This window comes from Homo sapiens, chromosome 14, assembly GCF_000001405.40.
Source record: "Homo sapiens chromosome 14, GRCh38.p14 Primary Assembly".
In the NCBI taxonomy this organism is placed as follows: Eukaryota; Metazoa; Chordata; class Mammalia; order Primates; family Hominidae; genus Homo; species Homo sapiens.
The window spans coordinates 89,126,996-89,146,615 of record NC_000014.9 but is presented as its reverse complement, the minus strand read 5'-3'; the positions used below and the strand labels follow the sequence as shown (position 1 = coordinate 89,146,615).

The window sequence follows — 19,620 nt, the reverse complement described above, 5'->3', positions numbered from 1 at the left end:
AGTCCAGCCAGTCCTCCTCCTTTGCTTTCTGTCTACAGGGCATGGAGGTGGAGCAGGAGAGGCATGGGCAGAGCTCTGGCTGCTCCGTCCTTAGCTTCATGCTTGTTTTGTGCTGACTCGCCATGCTGGAGCCCATTTCCACATGAGAAATCACATCAAAACGTCTCTGCACCAACGCTCTTGGCCTGGCTAAGTCAAAATTCTGAGATCATCACTGGGGAGACGATCGATGTTCTTGGCCAGCTTTTAATGACAATCGATTCTCTCCCTGGCTCTTTGTTAAGTGTCATTGAGAACAATTGCATTTTGTGAACCTGGTCACTGGCCTTGAATTTGCAGCTTCCTACAGTTGACGAGAGGCAGAGCATCTTGTTGCTGTTCTTTTCTCACTCAATCACACAATATGCTCAGCTGTACAATGAATGTTCTTTCCAGTCTGGTTTTTAGGCAACATGGCAGCTTGGCTAATCAGAAAACAAAGTGACTCCTTGTGCATGGGCTCTGAGGAAGGGACTGAGGAAAGTCTGGCTGCTGGCTGGCTCCTTTACTGACCCTAAGTTATTGAGGCAGTGGTTAGTGACAGACAGACTGGTTTTCTAGTCCTAGCTTTGCTGCTTACCAGCTGTGTGACCTTGGGCAAAGCACTCACCCTCTCTGAGGCTCTGTTTCTGCATCTGTAGAATGGGATGATAATAGTGCCCAAAATGTAGGTTGTTAAGAGGATTAAATGAAATGATGCATGAGAAAGGGAATTAATATAACATTTGGCATATCTAAGAGGCTCAATAAATGCCTGTTGTTATTATTATGGCTATTATTATTATTTCACCTTCAGAATCCCAGAACTACATAGCCCAGCCCCTGTATCTGTGATGATGCTGATCAATATAACAGCCACTAGCCATACGTGGCTTTTATACAGCAGTTGAAATGTGGAGTCCAAATTGAGATGTGCTGTGAGCATGAAATTGATCCTGGATTTCAAAGGCTTACTATGAAAACGAGAATGTAAAATATTCATTGATACCTTTTAAAAGTCGTGATGATATATTGAAATAACATTTTGGATCTGTTATGTTAAATAAAAGATATTTAAATAAATTAATGCTACCTGTTTCTTTTTTACTTTAAAAAAATGGCTGCTAGAAAATTTAAAATTGCATATGTGACTCTTTTCTTGGCTACCCTGTGCTATGTGGAATCACTTTCAAAGGAGTTCCGTCAAATAGCCAAAAGTAATTCAACAACAAAAAGTGAGCAACACCCAGGAATTCCAATCCTTAACTTGTATCTCTTTTAAAATAATAAACAAAATCCGAAGCATCATGAAAGCTTCTTATATCACCTTTCCTCTTCCAATTTTCTGGCACCCAGTGCTGTTTTGAAGCCTTTAATGTGCTACTCCCTGCCCCTGCTGCCAAGTACATGCAAACGATCTCTCTACCTCCAGCTCATGCCACATTTCTCTCCTCTCCACCTGTTCCACCAGTTCCACTGCTGTATCCCCCTTTCTAGAGTCTTCCTGTCCTCTTTGCTTTTTCCCATCTATTCTCTGAATTAGGATCTCCAAGGAACTGGTCTCTAGATTTGGCAGTTCCTCTCAAAAGTTGAGTGAGGCAGAGCAGATTACCATTAACCAAAGGCATAAAAGACTGATGAATAAACCAGATTGCCAAAGGGTTCGTTTAAAACAGAGAGAGTCCTTTTCAGGGACTGTGTGCTCCTTCTGCAGTCCAAGGAACCCTGACCCTAGGTCCACATTGTAGGTCATGCAGGGTGTACATTGTGCAATGCCAGGGACAGCATCTATACCAAGCCTACTGTGATGTGACATGTGCAACATGGTGGTTCTCAGTATTAGAGTCGCCGAGCAGGTGAATTAACGAGTTTAGTGAGTTCAAAATTAGAAACAAAAAGTATCAGCTTTATGACTACCTAGGGGTAAAGAATTCTGGACACAGGACTTAGCAAGCGCAAAGGCTTTAAGGTAATAATTAACTTAGAGGAAGAATAATGGGATTGGAGCTCAGAAGAGAAGAGAAAAAGTCCTAGGAGATGAAGTTGGAGAGTAGATTACATAGGACCTTCCAGGCTCCATGAGAAGGGGTTTGGATTTTGTTCTAACAGCAGTAGGAATACTATGATATGAAGTGTGCAACATGGTGGTTTTCAGTATTAGGGTCCTTGAGAAGGTGAATTAATGAGTTTGGTGAGTTCAAAATTGGAAACCAGAAGATGTCCAGAGGGATTTTATCAAAGCCATGGAAGCTCCCTGCCTGGCAGCTGAGTCCCCCAGAGGACAGAGTGTCCGGATTCCCCTGGTGTGTGGACTCCCTCTTGGCAGGGCTGGGGAAACACATTCTTGTTCTTTGGCTTCCCTTCTCCACCAGGCTGTAGGGGGACTCTTGCTGTTCTGATTATAAGGTTTTCCTTCAGCCTGGACACAAGACATGTGATTGGGTTTTGGCTCAGGAACATGGCAACTTTTCCCCCCACCCGAGAGTATTTCCTGGTCCCTATGACTTGGTTTTCGGCTTCACCCATGTCTTTGGCCACTGTTTTGGATTGAATTGTGTCCCTTTCCCAAAAATTTATATGTTAAGATCGCAGCCCCCAGTGCCTCCGAATGTGACCTTATTTGGGAATACAATTGTTGCAGATGTAATTAGTTAAGATGAGGTCATATTGGAGTAGTTTGGGCTCTTATCCAATATGTCTGGTGTCTTTATTAAAAGGAGATATGTGGACACAGACTCACAGGGAGAATACCATGTGGAGACTGGAGTTATGTTGCCAGAATCTAAGGGACTACCAGAAACTAGGTGAGAGGCCTGGAATAGATCCTTCCATAACCCCGTCAGAGTGAGTGTGGCCCTGCAGTCACCTTGACCTTCGACCTCTGACCTCCAGAACTGCAAGACAATAGCTTTCCATTGTTTAAGCTACTCCTTTTGTGGTACTTACTTATGAAAGCTCTAGCAAATTAATTCAACCACCAATAACTCTTGGATTGTCTTATGGGTGTCAACTCAGGCTGTTTAATGGGTGGCTAATCTTGCTGCCATTATGGGCAAACTCTTCCTAATTTTACTCCTGAAAAGAAACTTTATCTTAAAGTTTTGGGGTAACCTGCTGTCATCCATAAGTACTAATCACAATATTATATTATGAACAAACTTTTTATATAAAATGTATTTAATTTTTTGGCTTTATTTATTATAAGGTAGACTCCTAAACTCCTTTAAGGAAACCTGCTTTAGTACGCAGTTGGTTGTTTTGAGAACTGGTATAAGACATAGTCAATAAAAAAAGCCCTTCTGCATTTGATAAGTACATTTGAGGATATTTTTTATGATGTTACTCAAGGACCCTGAGCCAAAGTCCCCGTGACACGTGACAAAATCTTCTCAAAGCTCAGAGCCAACAATCAGTTTGGGTTTTGGTTCACTTTTTCCCATGACGATGGTCTACAGTGACAGAGAGGTGGAATATCAGGCTTCCCATTTTTCTCACAATGCTAGGAAGTTGGGGTGTGTCACTACTATCACTTTTCTCAGCCAAGAGTTCTTGGGAGCTTTTTTCCTCCTTTCCTTTCTTTACATTTTGTGCTTCTCTTTTGCTTCATCAATGTTAGTGCGACAGTGAGATACCTCACATCTCTTTTGAAAGCAAGCAAGGTCTGAATCAACACATTGAAATGAACACAAAAGACCCAAAGCAAGAACGTTCTGGGAGATGGGAGGGAAGGATAATTATACCAGAAGCCTTGTCTTTAACAATCAAACAAACAAACTCAAAACAAGTACAATCCCCGGCCACCTGACATGTGTTTCAGGCATGTGGGGGAAGGCGGGATAAATGTAAAAAGGCAGAGACATTCACCTTAACTGATGGAGAGCTGAGAGTGGATACAGGAGCACGTTAGCCTGCATCTTCTCTATAATTGTTTCATGTCTCTGCTACATGTGGAAGCAGGCAGTTCTGCAGGAACCCACGCTAGTCATCTTACATCACTCCTTTCTGCATTTGTAGTAAATACAGGACTGCTCCAGGAGCTTTGCAAATAACTCAGTTTCACTCCCAGCATCTTGATTAACATTATGTGTTGCTCCCATCTGGGACTGTTCATGGGTTCCTATGCGGAGTGGGGTCACAGGGTGACCGAGTCTTCCTCCTGTTTCTGTGGAATTCCTCCAGTGGGAGCAGAGAAAGGGGGTTATTGGAGGGCCCAACTCCATCTGCTGGACTCTCCACTCTGCACCTAGTGTTCCTGCCATTGGTAGGAGCCCTCTTTTTACAAACATAGGGACAAGGAAATCTCAGGTCCTGGAGTAAAAGATGGTAAGCAATGATACCTCCTGTTTGCTGAACTCTCCCTCACCTGGGTAGGGGGACATTTGTGGCAGATGAAAGATTTGAGGCACAAGAGGAACAGAGATCAATCGAGGTTTCAAAGGCTGTCAAGAAAAATCAGTCACAGAGCATACCTACAAAGGTCTTCAAGAAGCTCGTGGAAAATGCTTATTATGCAAAAGCTATGCATGGATTTCAAAAACTTTTTGCACCAAAATAAACTCTTACTAACTTGTTATAACATGTCTGAACAGGATCTAGTTTGAGGCATGTAGAAGAATGAGACATCAGTTTGAAAAGAGCCCGTTTCACAGCAACATGAATTCTGCTAACATTGAAGCAAGAACAAATAGCAAATTTCTGATAAAACTTGGGTGAATTCATTGATGCCTTAAATAAAGTTTATGGGACAATGCCCCAAAGAAATCAGCAGTTTACGAATGAATAATCTGTTTTAAAAATGGACAAGAGGATGTTGAAGATGGTGCCTGCAGCAGCAGACCATCCACATCAATTTGTGATTAAAAATAAATAAGTCTAGTTTATGCCCTGATTGAAGAGGACTGATGATTAACAGCAGAAACAGTAACCAACACCATACACATCTTACTTGGTTCAGTTTACACAATTCAAACTGAAAAATTAAAGTTGAGCAAACTTTCCACTCAATGGGTGCCCAAACCACTGCACCCAGATCAGCTGCAGACAAGAGCAGAGCTTTGATTGGAAATTTTAAACTTGTGGGATCAAGAACCTGAAGCATTTTGTTAAATAATTGTAATAGGAGGCCAGGCATGGTGGCTCATGCCTGTAATCCCAACACTTTGGGAGGCTGAGGCGGGTGGATCACTTGAGGCCACGAGTTCAAGACCAGCCTGGTGCGCACCTGTAATCCCAGCTACTTGGGAGGCTGAGGCATGAGAATCACTTGAACCCAGGAGGTGGAGCTTTTAGTGAGCTGAGATCGCGCCACTGCATTCCAGCCTGGGTGACAGAATGAGACTCTGTCTCAAAAAAAAAAAAAAAAGAAGAATTCTAACAGGAGCTGAAACATGGCTTTACTGGTACCATTCTGACGACAAAGCACAACAAAAGCAATGGCTACCAAAAGGGGGGAAGTGATCCAGTCAAGGCAAAAGCAGACTAGTCAAGAGCAAAGGTCCCGGTGACAGTTTCCTGGGATGCGTGAGGCATTTTGCTGGTTGACTTTCTGGAGGACTGAAGAAGGATAACGTCTGCTTAATATAAGAGCATTTTGAGAAAGTTACCCAAAGCTTTGGTAGAAAAACGCCTGGGAAAGCTTCATCAGAGAGTCCTTCTCCACCACAACAATGCTCCTGCTTCTTCCTCTCATCAGACAATGACGATTTTGTGGGAGTTTCAATGGGAAGTAACTAAGCATCCACCTTACAGTCTTGATTTGCCTCCTCCTGACATCATTTTGTTTCCTAATCTTATAAAATCTGTAAAGGGCACTCATTTTTCTTCAGGTGATAATGTAAAAAAGACTGCACTAACAAGGTTAAGTTCCCAAGACCCTCTGTTCTTAGGGATGTACTAAATGGCTGGTGTCATCATTTACAAAAGTGTCTTGAACTTGATGGAGCTCACGTTGAAAAATAAAGTTTATATTTTAAATTTTTATTTTTTAACTTCATTTTTCCCACAGACTTTTTGAAGTCCCCTCATATGTTGAGCATTGGCTGTATGCCAGGGCTTGTGGCAAGCACTTTACAGATATGAACCTGCTTCATCTCTCTTCAAACTTGCGAGGCAGCTAATTTTATTATCCTCGTTTTACAGATGACGGGACTGAGGCACAGAGAGTCTGAGTAATTTGCCCAAGAAAACACAGATGTTAAGGGAGGAGCTGGGGTTTGAACCCCAGTGGCTTGGCTCCTGATCCGGGGCACCCATATGCACAGAGCCCAGAGAGAATGCTAAACATTGTTTACCTTTGCTGTCAACTCACCTTGCTGGTCACACAGAGGCCCCTCCAGTGGGCATCCTGGAGCCCCCCTGTTCTCTGTGGTCTCCTCTTGCTCTTCTCTTTCCCTGCTTCAAAGCTGACCCTCCAGGACGCAGGCTCCATTCCAGAATTTCCACATCCTACTCTGGCTTTCTTAGGTGTCCCGGCTTCTTCCCGGTAGCGCATTTACATGACAAACACATCGTTCTTCTGTTAATATTGACCTCTTCTCAGAGCAGAGCTCCTATGCTCTAGTAAGCTAGCAGTCTGGCACTTTATCCACTTTACTAAAGAACCCCGTCCCCTGAGTTGAAAAGTAAATACAGTGGGAAGAAAAAGAGTATCCCATTATTCCATGAGAACAACGCCCACTTGTTGAGCATTTACCACAAAGCGCAGCCTGTATGAAGTGCTACGCCAGTGTTGTCTCATTCATGACCTGTGATGGGAGGATGACTATTCCCATTGGACAGATGATGATGTTGAGATGTAACAGGTGAAATAATTTGCCTGAGGCGTCATAGCTATTATGTGGCAGAGCTAAGACTTGAACCCAGGTGTTTGGAGGCACACCTAAAGAAAAGCCGCCGAGTCATCTTTTAAAGGCCAGGAGGCAGTGAGGGAGGCTCCACCCCAGCTGTCATCCCTGCCTCCTGGCCTGTCCCTGAGAAGCTCTCCACACAGGTCCCAGGCTCTCTCTCACCTGCAGGCTTAGCCCTGCCCCACCTACTGCCCAGTGTTGGCTGAGGCGGCCACTGTTCTGCTGCCTGAGCCCCTTCATTTGCAGAGACTTCATGCCATCACTCCCTGGGCCTGGGAGGTTCTTGATGTCTGCCAAGGGACCAGGACTGTGCCCTGACCAATGAGCAGGTCTCGAGCCAGAAAGATGTTTTGCCACCTTCCTCAGGAGCCCCGCGCTGTGGGGAGGAGCCTCCGTGACGCATTCCCGGGATCACACCAGGCCAGGCCAAACAAGAACACAAAGCCCCACAGGTCTATGTCCACGGATTCTGGCTGAGTCCCTGCCAAGACCCCCCCTGATGACTGGAGTGTTTTTAAAGCTGCCCCCCAACTTCTGTGTTCAAGAGTGGTTGCAGGAATGGGGAGGAGCCCCACTCAGGAATCCGGAGGTCCAGACTAGCTCTAGGAGCAGCCCAGAGGTTTTTTTTGTGGTTACTGCCTGGGACCCCTGCTGAGGAGTGGCTATTCCTGACTGGCTCAGCTGCTCTCAGCACATGCCCGTGGGCACACCTAGGCTTCCCTCCCACCGAGGGGCAGGCGGGAGTCCTGTGAGCTGGAAGGACAGTGCACGCAGGGCAATCCCACAGTGGAGTCGAAGCTGTCAGTGTCCTCCCAGGCCCGCTGGCATTCACATTGCAATACCTGCCAAAGGACTGCCCACCACACAGCAGGCTACCTAAAGGCCTTTCCCAGGTGGGCCAGGAGAGCAGAGAAGCCCCACTCCCCGCAGCCTTCAGCCAAGGAGAGATGGAAGCTGGAGTTTCATAATCCCAGCCCCCTCCACCTTCTAGTGAAACACTTCTGAGATATGTGCTACAACCCTGCTACTCAAAGTGTGGTCCAGGGACCAGCAGCACTGACATCACTAGGAGTTTGTTAGACATGCAGAGTCTTGGGCCCCACCCTGAGCTTCTGGATCAGAGTCTGCATGTTAACAGCATCCCAGGAGCTTCGAGTGCGTGTTCAGCTTTGAGAAGCACTGCCCCATGCTGTTTTCCAAAGGTTCCAGGAGGAATAAAGACCCCATTGCCCATAGTAGCAACCTGTTCCACATCATACCTTTTACATGCTTCCTGCACTTTCCTGTTTCTCCACCTACCCACCTTCCCCAACTCAGTGCTTCCTGGGATCCCCTCCCAATTAAACTACACCGTCTCCAGGTTCATTCCTGGGGGAACCAACATAAGATCCGTGGTCTCTTTGGGACAAAGTATTGGATCTACTGCAAAGCCCAGTCCACCCCTTGCACACTATGCAATGCTGCACAAGAGAAATAAGGAAAATACTAGTATTTAGTTCTCAGGGTCCCTTCGAGGATGAAATGAGACCATTCTTGTGAGGAGTTTGCACAGTGGCTGGCACATGGTAGCCCTTCTATAAATGTTAGCTGTTGTTACTCTCCCGCTTCTGCTTCCAAAGCCACCTTAGTCCCCTGTGCCCTGTGAGTATGCAAACATCCAGGTCGTGCAGGAAGAGTGACATACAGGTTCAAAAAGGGCTTGAATCCAGCTGTGTCTGCAGTTGGCTGTGTGCACTTGGACCTACAATTTCACCCTTCTGAGCCTCAGTTTCCACACCTGTGAAATGGGAATATAAAGACCAATCTCACAGGCCATTTTAAAGAAGAAATTCAACAATGTATAGAAAGCACCTGACTCTGAGTCGGGTATACAAGTGGGTACCCAGAAGATATTTGTTGAAAGGAAAGCTGGAGGGACAGAGTTCTGAGCAGTCTGCTGGAGTGGCGGTGCCTCTCCCAGCCCAGGCCATGACTCCAGCATGACTCACCACCCCTAAACCTCAAACTTGGGCCTGGCCCTTTGCCCACTGGTGCGGCCCTCGGTGTGGGTCACCCCAGTGCTGCCTTGGCCTGAGCAAACAGGAAGAGCCAACAGGCAAGAAGGCCTGGCCTGCTGCCACTCTGAATGAGGCTCAACTTCTTGCTTCGTGCCCAGCCAGAAAAGAATGTTATTCCATGAGCCCAAATCCCTCACTGGGCAAGGCTAGCAAGAACAACTGAGGCACTGCTAGGTTTTGCAGGAGTATTGGGTGAGGGGCACCAGAATAAGGGATTATATTGAAAGGGAAAGTGTGTTCTCAGGGCATCTCCCCAACCCCTAAGGAGGGAGGGAGATTCTCCTTTGAGGGTAAATGGAGGCACAGGCCTGCTGCCTGGGAAGCAGATCTTAGCATCAGCACCAGCTGGGCAGGCCTCAACATCACCATGCGAAGCTGTTTTCTTGGAAGGGACTGCAAAATTAAAGGAAGACCAGTGATGTTTATATGCTGCTTTTAATTTTACAAAGGATTGTGTTATTCATTAGCTTATCATCTTGTCCCCTGTTGACAAGTGAGGGGAACTGAGTTCTAGAGAGGTAAATAATTGCCTTCAGTCATTTGCAAGAAGCTGAAATTTCACATCATGGATTCACAGTTCTGTGAATTCTCTACTCCAGAAAATAGACAATTTAAATGGCAGGAGAAAGAGATCCTCTGCTTTAGTGTTTAAAGTTATTTTTAAAGTAAAGGATAAGGTCTTTTATATTTGTTCAGACAGATAACATTTCTAATGCTCTTTATTTCTTGGTGTTTCCATCTAGTATCATTTTTCTTCAGTGCAAAGGACTTTAATATTTCTTGTAGTGCGGGTTTGCTGGAGATGAATTCATTCAGCTTTTAGTTTGTCAGCTTTCACTTTTGAAAGATACTTCTGCTAGGTATAGAATTCTAGGTTGACAGCTTTTTTTATTTCAGGATTTTAAAGACACATCTGTCTTGTCTTCTAACCTAACACTATTTCTGGTGAGAAATCTGCTGTCATCCTTTCTTTTGCCCCTCTGTATGTAAAGTGTACTTCCTCCCCCTACCCCGACTGCTTTTAAGATTTTCTCTTTACTACTAGTTTTAGGCAATTCAATTTTTCATGTGCCTTGGTATCATTTTCTTCCTGATTTTCGTGCCTGGAATTTCCTAGGCTTCTTAAGCCTGAATTTATAGTTTTCTTCAAATTTGCAAAAGTTTTGGCCATTACTTCTGCAAATATTTTTTCTGTTCCTACTCATTCTTCTTCAGGGGCTCCAGTTACATATATATTAGGCTGCTTGAAGTTGTTCCATAGCTCACTGATCGCTTTGCTCGTTTTGGGGCGTCATTTTTCTCTCTGTTTCACTTTGGATAGTTTCAATTGCTGTCTTTAAGTTTATTAGCATTTTTCTGCAATGTTTAATCTGTTGTTAATCCTGTGCAGTGTATTTTTATTGCAGACATTATCTTTTTCATCTCTAGTTGTTTTATTTGGTTCTTGTTTTAATGTTTTCTGTGTCTCTCTTCAGCATGCTCATGCTTTTGCCCACCTTCTTGAGCATATGGAAAACAATTATAATAACTGGCTTAATGTCCTTTTCTACTAATTATATTATCTGTGTCATGTCTGAGTCTGTTTCTACTGATCAATTTTTCTCTTCATTTGGGGCATGTTTTCCTGCTTCTTTGCACGCCTGGTAATTTTTTTTTACTGAATACTAGGTGCTGTGTTGTTGGATGCTGGATATTTTTGTTTCCCTTCAAATATTCTTGACATTTGTTCTGGTAGGCAGCTAAATTTCTTCAATCCTTTTGAGGCTTGCTTTTGAGCTTTCTTAGGTGGGACCAGAGCAGACTTTAGGGATAAAGTTTTCTTATTATTGAAACAATACCCTTCTGTATATTTTGTATATTATGACGTTTTTCTATTCCGGCTGGTGGGAACATGAACTATTCCTAGCCCGAGTGAGTCCCAGGGATTATTCAGCTTGCTCCTTTTTGTTGGTTCTTTTTCCTGCTCGGGTAGTTTTCTCACATGCATGCACTTGCACTGGTCAGTAGCCAATCAAGGGGAACCCTCTGCAGATCTTCAGAACTTTCTCTCTGTGTAGCTCTTTCTTCTCTGTGCAGTGCTCTTCTCTAAGGCATCCTGCCTTGTAAATTCTAGCTTCCTTGGCCTTCTCAAATTCTCAACTCTGTCTCGTCAACTCAGGAAGACCATCAAGCTCTCTTTGGGTTCTCCCTCCCTGTTCTGTAGCCTGAAAATTACTTCCCCTGTTTCCCTTCCCCTGGGGATTACTTTCTGTATTATCTGTTTTCTAATATCTGAAAGGTATTGTTTCATATGTTTTGTCTAGTTGTTTAAGGCAGGAGAGTAAATCCAATCCCTATTACTTCATCATGGTTCAAATATAAGTCCTTATACATTTTTTAATTAAAAAATATTTTATTGTAGTAACATACATAAAATTTACCATTTTGATCATTTTTAAGTGTACAGTTCAGTGGCATTCATTACATTCCCTCTGCCTTAGTTTTAAGTGAAAAAATGTGTCATTTTTCGTCTAACCATTATTAAGCACTTAGCACCGAGTGTTGCAGTAGATAGTGATTACACTCATCTTACAGACAAGGAACATGAAGCTCAGAAGGGAACTTGCCCAAGATCTCAGTGTCGTTGATATGGTCAGAATTTAGTCCTACTGAACCATGCTATGAACTTCATTGAGAAAGGATCCTGAAATCACACCACCTTTACTTGTCTGTAAGGACTTCCACTGCAAGCCTACCTCTTGACCTGGAGCAGACATTCCAGAAATCAGCACCCCAGTTTCCTCCTTTGCAGGAGCAAATTCACCCAGATACCAGAGGAACACCGGGCTTAGAGCCAGGCCCATATCTGAGTGGCAGTCTCTGCCACCTGTGAGGCAGGACACAGCTAGCCCAGGCCTGGTGCACAGATCCAGAGAGGAGCTCCACCCTCACTGTGTCATGCAGAGAAGGAGTGTGCTAGGGGTCTGTGTGCATGTGGAGACCACAATTCACAGTCCGCCACTCAGAGTTAAATGTCAGCTTCATTTGCTTCACTGGCTTATCTTAAATTACAATTACAAATCTTTGAAATCCCTTTTAAACTTCCTACCAGCTCCAAACAGGCACGTTAGCAGCCATTGATCCAGCACATCGGGGATTCTTCGCTTCAAGGAGTGGATCCCTTTTCGTCAGTGAATGAAAACAAGACTCTTGCCTCAAATATTCTGACAGCCTCTTTGCAAAGGCTGTGGGTCATTTACTCCCAGCCTCCACAAGAAAACCCTAGAAGCACATCCCTTTGTATGGTTTGAGTTTGTGTCGAAGGCACTCTAAGCATCCCAAGTGGGTTTTTATTAGTTATTTCTTACTAGCAGCCTATCAGGTGTGGAGCGTTTTATAGATGCTCCTTTTATAGACGGGAGTATCAAGGACATGGGATGCTCGCTGTCTCACAGCCTCTCCCACTCAGCAAATCAGGGCTTGCTCCTGGACTGGGCTGCTCTGCCCGCTGTGTAAGTAGCCCTCTTAGCCCTGCAGGGCTGGACAGGGCTTCTTGGTCCTTGCTTTTCTCCTTTGTCTGGGACATGGAGCCTAATATGCACTTGAGTAAAGATAAGCAACCCTGATCACCGTCCCTTCATCTTCAAATAGTTGCAATTTTGTGATTCCCAAGCCATCTTGAGGATGTTCCTGCAGTGGTGTGGGAGGAGGTAAGTAGGCCAACTTTACCTCCCAGTATTCGGCACAGATTCAGCATAAAACTCAGCCCCAGAGAGACCCCAGACAAGAGAACAAGAGTTCGTTTTTCCAGGGTACAGTTAAAACTACTCATTTGGTCAAATGATTTTTTTAAAAAAGATCTAGGAGGGGGCAGTTCTGGGACGCAAACTTTTCTGAGTTCATCGTTGTCTTGGTGCTTTGGTGTGGCTTGGGGAATTGGATCTGATTTTACCTGTCGGCAATGATGGAGAATCTGAGGGGCTTTGGAGCCATCGTGCTGAGCAGCAGCTCTTTGCTGACCGTTAGGGTGGAGGGGCTGCTGATATGACAGCCCCACCTGGAGTCAAGAAAGGAAACCAACCAGGGGACAGTGGCATTCCCTGAATACTGGGCACTCAGAGTCAAGGCCAGCTGTCTGGGTGTGTGATCTGTCGAGTTGCAGAGGGCCCATGCTCAAAGGCACCCCTACTTGGTTTAGTGCTCGACTGTTGCCATCTTGAAATTCTTCCTCATTTTTGAACAAGAGGCCCTGGACTAGGACCTTGAAATTATATAGCCAGTCCTGCCTGGAACAGATCATTCATTAACTACTGCCCTCCTCTCTATATGGCAACAATATATTGTATTTTCTGTAACAATCATGAAATGAAACAAATAATAACAATGGCCAGAAGAGAAATGTAGTCATTGAAAACATTCTTTATTAAACTTTGTATATAGAATATATAGGTTTAAAGATTTTAAAAATAAAATAATGGTTATGGCACACATAAAAAAGCTCAACTAAATATTCAACAGTTGTTTATAGTCTGATTGTCTTAGTCTGTTTGGACTGCTATGACAAAATACCATAGACTGGGGCTGAGCCCGGTGGCTCACGCCTGTAATCCCAGCACTTTGGGAGGCCAAGGCAGGCAGATCACCTGAGGTCAGGAGTTCGAGACCAGCCTGGCCAACATGGCAAAACTCTGTCTATTCTAAAAATACAAAAAAAAAAAAAAATTAGCCGGGCATGGTGGTTTGCACCTGTAATCCCTGCTACTCGGGAAGCTGAGGCAAGAGAGTCACTTGAACCCAGGAGGCGGAGGTTGCAGTGAGCTGAGCATGCCACTGCACTCCAGCCTGGGCCACAGAGTGGGACTCCATCTCAAAAAAAAAAAAAATACTGGATTAGTTATGAACAACAAATGTTTATTTCTCAAAGTCTGGAGGCTGGGAATTCCAAAATCAAAGTGCTGCTAAATTTGGTGTCTGGTGAGGGGGCTCTCTTCATCATTCGAAGAGGTTGTCTTCTCTCTGTGTACTCACCAATGGAAGGGGCAAGGCAGCTCTCTGGATTTTCTCTAACAAGGGCGCCAGTCCCCCATGAGGGCTCCATTCTCCGACCTAATCACCTCCCAAAGGCTCCACCTCCTAATACTATCACCTTGGGAGTAAGAATCTCAACATATGAATTTTAGGGGGACACATACTTTCAGATCATGGCAGTGATATAATAGTATTTCATGAAAATAATTATTCAGTAATTAATAACTGTTCAGTGATGTTTCATTTTCTTGACTAGCTCTTTAGTCTTTAAACTACCAATCATTTTAAAAGAAGAACAAACTTCAATCTTAGAGATCATATATATATATATTTTTTTTGAGACAGAGTCTCGCTCTGTTGCCCAGGCTAGAGTGCAGTGGCACAGTCTCAGCTTGCTGCAACCTCCACCTCCTGGGTTCAAGCGAGTCTCCTGCCTCAGCCTCCTGAGTAGCAGACTACAGGTGTGCGCCAGCACGCCCGGCTAATTTTTGTATTTTTAGTAGAGACAGGGTTTTGCTATGTTGGTCAGGCTGGTCTCGAACTCCTGGCCTCAAGTCATCCACCCGCCTTGGCCTCCCAAAGTGCTGGGATTACAGGCATGAGCCATCACACCTGGGCTTAGAGTTTTTTGTTTGTTTGTTTGTTTGTTTGTTTGTTTTTGTTTTTTTTGAGACAAAGTCTCGCTTTGTCACCCAGGCTGGAGTTTAGTGGCGCGATCTCGGCTCACTGCAATCTCCGCCTCCCGGGCTCAAGCAATTTTCCTGCCTCAGCCTCCTGAGTAGCTAGGATTACATGCGTGTGCCACCATGCCCGGCTAATTCTTGTATTTTTAGTAGAGATGGGGCTTCACCATGTTGGCCAGGTAGGTCTCGTACTTCCTGACCTCGTGATCTGCCCGCCTTGGCCTCCCAAAGTGCTGGCATTACGGGCGTGAGCCACCGCACCTGGCTAGAGATCATATTTAAATTCAACAAAATATTTCGAGCACAAACTAAAATGTGTATTTTCAAAACACCTCCCAGTTTGCATGTTGTTTCATTTTAAATTTGGACATAAATTAAAACTTCAAGGGGTCACATGGGATGAAGTCATTCAAGTTCTCTTTCTTTGTCGTTGCAATCACCATGCTGTCATCATGTATTTCAAATCATTGTTTATTTCATATTTCTGTTTAAACACAACCATCTGTGGTACCACAGAGGGTGGGGATATGAATGTGCCCCAAGTAAATTCAAATGATTTCAAGCCATTGTGAACTTAACCTTGAAAATCACCTGAGTAGCTGCTTCACCAGTGTCCCGTACTGGGAGCAACCACATTCACTGGGAGTTTCCAGATTAACTCCCATGCAGAATGCGATTTATATTAAAGGATGTCATAAAGATGCACTAATGTTAAGGTTACATCTGTCTTATTAAAGTTCAGCAATAACCACAGAAACTGTTTAGAGCTTAAACCAAAAGAACATGTTTTTGAGGAGTGTTTATCACCAGCGATGTTTACTATTGCTCACATATGGTGCTAATAAAAAGCAGACAAACTAAATTCAGTAGGTTTTGTTCTTGTTTTTAAGTTCTTCACAGAGAATGCACTCTCTGATTGCTGGCATGCAGGCAGATGTATACCACTGCCAGTAGATACTCTTTTTATTTTGCCATCAAAAGTCACACATTATTTTTAATGGTAATTCTAGCCTGAATTGCTAAGAATTTAAGGTTGCTGGTAGAAATACAATCTTTGGGTAGGACAATGTGGCAGAATGTTGAAAGTGCATGTCTTGGCCAGGCATGGTGGCTCACGCCTGTAATCCCAGCACTTTGGGAGGCTGAGGCAGGCGGATCACGAGGTCAGGAGATTGAGACCATCCTGGCTAACATGGTGAAACCCCGTCTCTACTAAAAATACAAAAAATTAGCCGGGCGCGGTGGCGGGCGCCTGTAGTCCCAGCTACTGGGGAGGCTGAGGCAGGAGAATGACGTGAACCCGGGAAGCGGAGCTTGCAGTGAGCCGAGATTGCGCCACTGCAGTCCGCAGTCCGGCCTGGGCGACAGAGTGAGACTCTGTCTCAAAAGAAAAAAAAAAAAAAAAAAAGAAAGAAAGAAAGTGCATGTCTTTTGACTAGGAATTTTGCTTCAAGGATTTTAGTCTAAATAGATGTAGGTATATTCAAAGATTTAGCAAGATATTCATCATAGTATCACTTATCATAATGAAAAGTGGAAATAAATTATGGTACGTCCATGCATTAGAATATGTAACAGTCATATGAAACAATGTTGTTTAAGAGTATTTAATGAGGCCAGGCGCGGTGGTTCATGCCTGTAATCCCAGCACTTTGGGAGGCCAAGGCTGGCGGATCATGAGGTCAGGAGCTGGAGACCATCCTAGCCAACATGGTGAAACCCCGTCTCTACTAAAAAATGCAAAAATTAGCTGGGCATGGTGATGTGTACCTGTAATCCCAGCTATTCAGGAGGCCGAGGCAGGAGAATCGCTTGAACCAGGGAGTCAGAGGTTGCAGTGAGCTAAGATCATGCCACTGCACTCCAGACTGGTGACAGAGCGAGACCCTTTCTCAAAAAAAAGAAGTATTTAATGTTATGGAAAATTTATAATATATTCTTAAGTGAAACAGGTTACAAAACACAATGTCATATGACCCCTCTTTTAAAATATATATATATATTATATATATATATATATATGTATGTAGTATATACCACCCATTTCCCAGCTGGAGCACAAAATAAGTTTGCATTTTTAAAATATCCAAATTCTTCCAAACTCCCCACCTCAAAGATGACAGAAAATCCATTCTTCTTCCAGTTTCCACCCAAGGTCATTCTGGGAAGCACTGGGGAATGCTTGACCATTTCGCAAACCCGACCTGCTTGCTGTTACTTCCTCTAGCAGTCCTAGCTTGGCTGCAGTACAGTTCTGAAGGCCTGCAGGTCACCTCCGGCTGTCTTGGAGAGTAGCTTTCTTTTCTAGGCCACTTGCTACTTAGCTGCCCTAAACGCGCCTAAATCCCAGCTCAAATGTTTAGCAAATTTTTGCTGAATGCTTGGGGGAATAACACAGACTCAAGTACAGCGAATAACTTTGCATCTAAGGACTCTACATCCCTTTGGTACTCACATGCCCAAAACTATCCTTGCTCAGGGTCTGTGCTTGGAGCCTGAGAGGCCTCCACAGGGCAGGGACCAGGCCAGCCCTCCTCCAGACCCCAAGAGATGAGGTAGCCCTTTCCTGGTCCAAGAAGTGACCCTCACGCCTACTCAGGATGATTGAAAGAGGAATGATCTATTTCCTTTAGGGGAAACCCTCCCCACCTACCCACCTACCATGTCCATTCAGGCACTCAGGGTTTAGTTCGACACCTCTACCCTAGAACAAGCAAATACAGCAGTTGTCAGCCCAATTCCCAAATCCAGTTGTAAATACCCAACATAAGGAACACCAACAGGCCAACCCAAATTTTTGTTTAGATAAAAACTGTTTCTCTAACTCATGAAGAGCACAGTCAGACTAAAGAACAGCTCCGTTTCTGTTAGTAACTGTGTCAGACTAAACAGCTGTGGTCATATTTAAGGTGACTTTGCTATTTTCTCTCGGTATTGTAGGTAAGTCATTTACATTTGTGCAATTAAAAGAGCCCAGACTGAGGCTTTTTCTGAAAACAATAGAAGTCTGCCTCAAAAGAGGAATGATGTCTGTACCTCCAGAAACTGAATATTGTCGACACATTTCAAATATTATTACTCCAGTTACAAACTTCTGTGTGGAAGGGATCAACCCTTGCAGTCATCCTACCAGATGTACGTGTGTGTGTGTGTGCACGCATATATGTACATGTGTTTTGGATGCATTAAAGACTGGTAGCATGTGCACAAAAACATACTCGATGGCTAAATCACCGGGATGAGATCATAGGCAATGTTAATTTTCTATTTGCTTTTCGGAGCTTCTTTTTGCTTGCATTTTAGGATTAGTTTGAAAGTGGAACAGGCAAAAGGACGCACATGAAGTTGAGCTTTAGCACTTTTTGTCGTTTTTAAGCCTGTTACATTTTCTCTTGATCTTTCTCCTAAAAAACAAAGCCAAAAATGTCTGATTAATTAAGGTTTTCAGTTAATCGTGCTTTATTATGTATTTTACACATTTTCTAGACAATTGTTCATAAGCTGGCCTGGTGCAAAATGGCAGATGGGGCCTGCCTAATCACAGAGAAGAGGCTGATTAAAAGAACAGGATTGAAGAGCCAAGGTGTTCATTTAGAACGATGTGATTTGGAATCTGAAGGGTTTGTTTTAAACTCTTCAGTTTCATTTTAGCAAATGGTGACTGGAAATTAGTGATATTTATTTAAAACTACACTAGAGTCTGATCCCCCAGGGGCACCTTGATTAACTTGTCTAAAGTTCACTCTGTGGACTCAAATCTCATTTTTAAAAAATATTAATTTTAAAACTTTAAAGCAATTGTTTTTCTCTATGCTTGAGCAGTTTCCCATCTGTCAGGTGGCAAATGGGCTGGTGCTTTTTTAAAACATTTTTTAAAATTTCAAATTACCAAAGTAATACATATTCATTGACGAAAATATGATAAATACAGAAGAGCCCAAAGAAAAACACTCATCTATAATCTCACCCTGCTGTTCATGAGAAAGCTGCTCATTTAAGATATGCACCTCCAGCCTAATACACATACACAAACACACTCCTACACATATACACATACACGCATACAGGCATGCAAATGCATGTACCCAGACACGTTACAAGTATACAACAATAGGATTGTGCTGGGCACACGGCTTTGTAATCTGCACATTGTTACTTACCAATATGGTATAAACATGTATCTTTAGATATTCTTATTTAATATATTTTAAAGGCTGCACTGTGTTCCATCATATTGTTGGATATTTAAATTATTTCTAATTCTTTGCTATCATAATGAAAGATTCAGTGTGCATTTTTTTGTTATATATTCCTCATTTCCTTAAAATAATTTCCTGAAGTAGAATTGCTTAAACAAAGGACATGTGTTTTTCCAAAGTTTTTGTTACATATTGACATGTATTCCTCCAGAAAATTTGTACTGATGTACACTTCTTGAAGCCAAATATAAGAGCACTGGTTTCCCCTACACATATACCACAATATTGAGTACGCTAATGTTTAAAAATATCTTTGGTTAATGGGATAAAACATTAATATGTTAACATGTGCTTCTGACTTCACAGGCCTAGACAAGAAATTATAATACTATCAAAGTATGAGGCACTCTCACGTGGCTATCTCACTCCCTGATGCTTGAAGCTGCTCCTTACCCTACATCTCACTATATCACTGTCTGAGCAGCAGCAATTCTGGAAAAACAGCAAAAAAAAGATAGATAACAAATATGTGTGTGCATATATGAATACACATAAATATTCAGATTCCGTTAAAATATGTATTTTATGTACATACACTCATACTCACCTACCCCCAGAATATATAAAAATCATAACCAAAATATTAACATTAGTTATCTTTGGGGGGTGGGATTACAGATTTTTTTATGGCTTTCCTTTTACTTTTTGATGTTTTCAAATTTTCTACAGTGACCATCTATTACTTTTGAAAATATATGCACTCAAACAATAAATGATATTTTTGTTTTCTAAACAAACAAAATTCATACTG

At 43.2% G+C, this 19,620-nt stretch overlaps 1 annotated feature.

Moving 5' to 3' along the window:
- Positions 6,268-7,189: an enhancer, noted in NCBI's record as "OCT4-NANOG-H3K27ac-H3K4me1 hESC enhancer chr14:89605771-89606692 (GRCh37/hg19 assembly coordinates)". NCBI's record gives its function as "activates a minimal SCP1, AML or CMV promoter by ChIP-STARR-seq in naive H9 embryonic stem cells {active_cell/tissue: H9 hESC(naive)}" and the evidence as "EXISTENCE:reporter gene assay evidence [ECO:0000049][PMID:30033119]".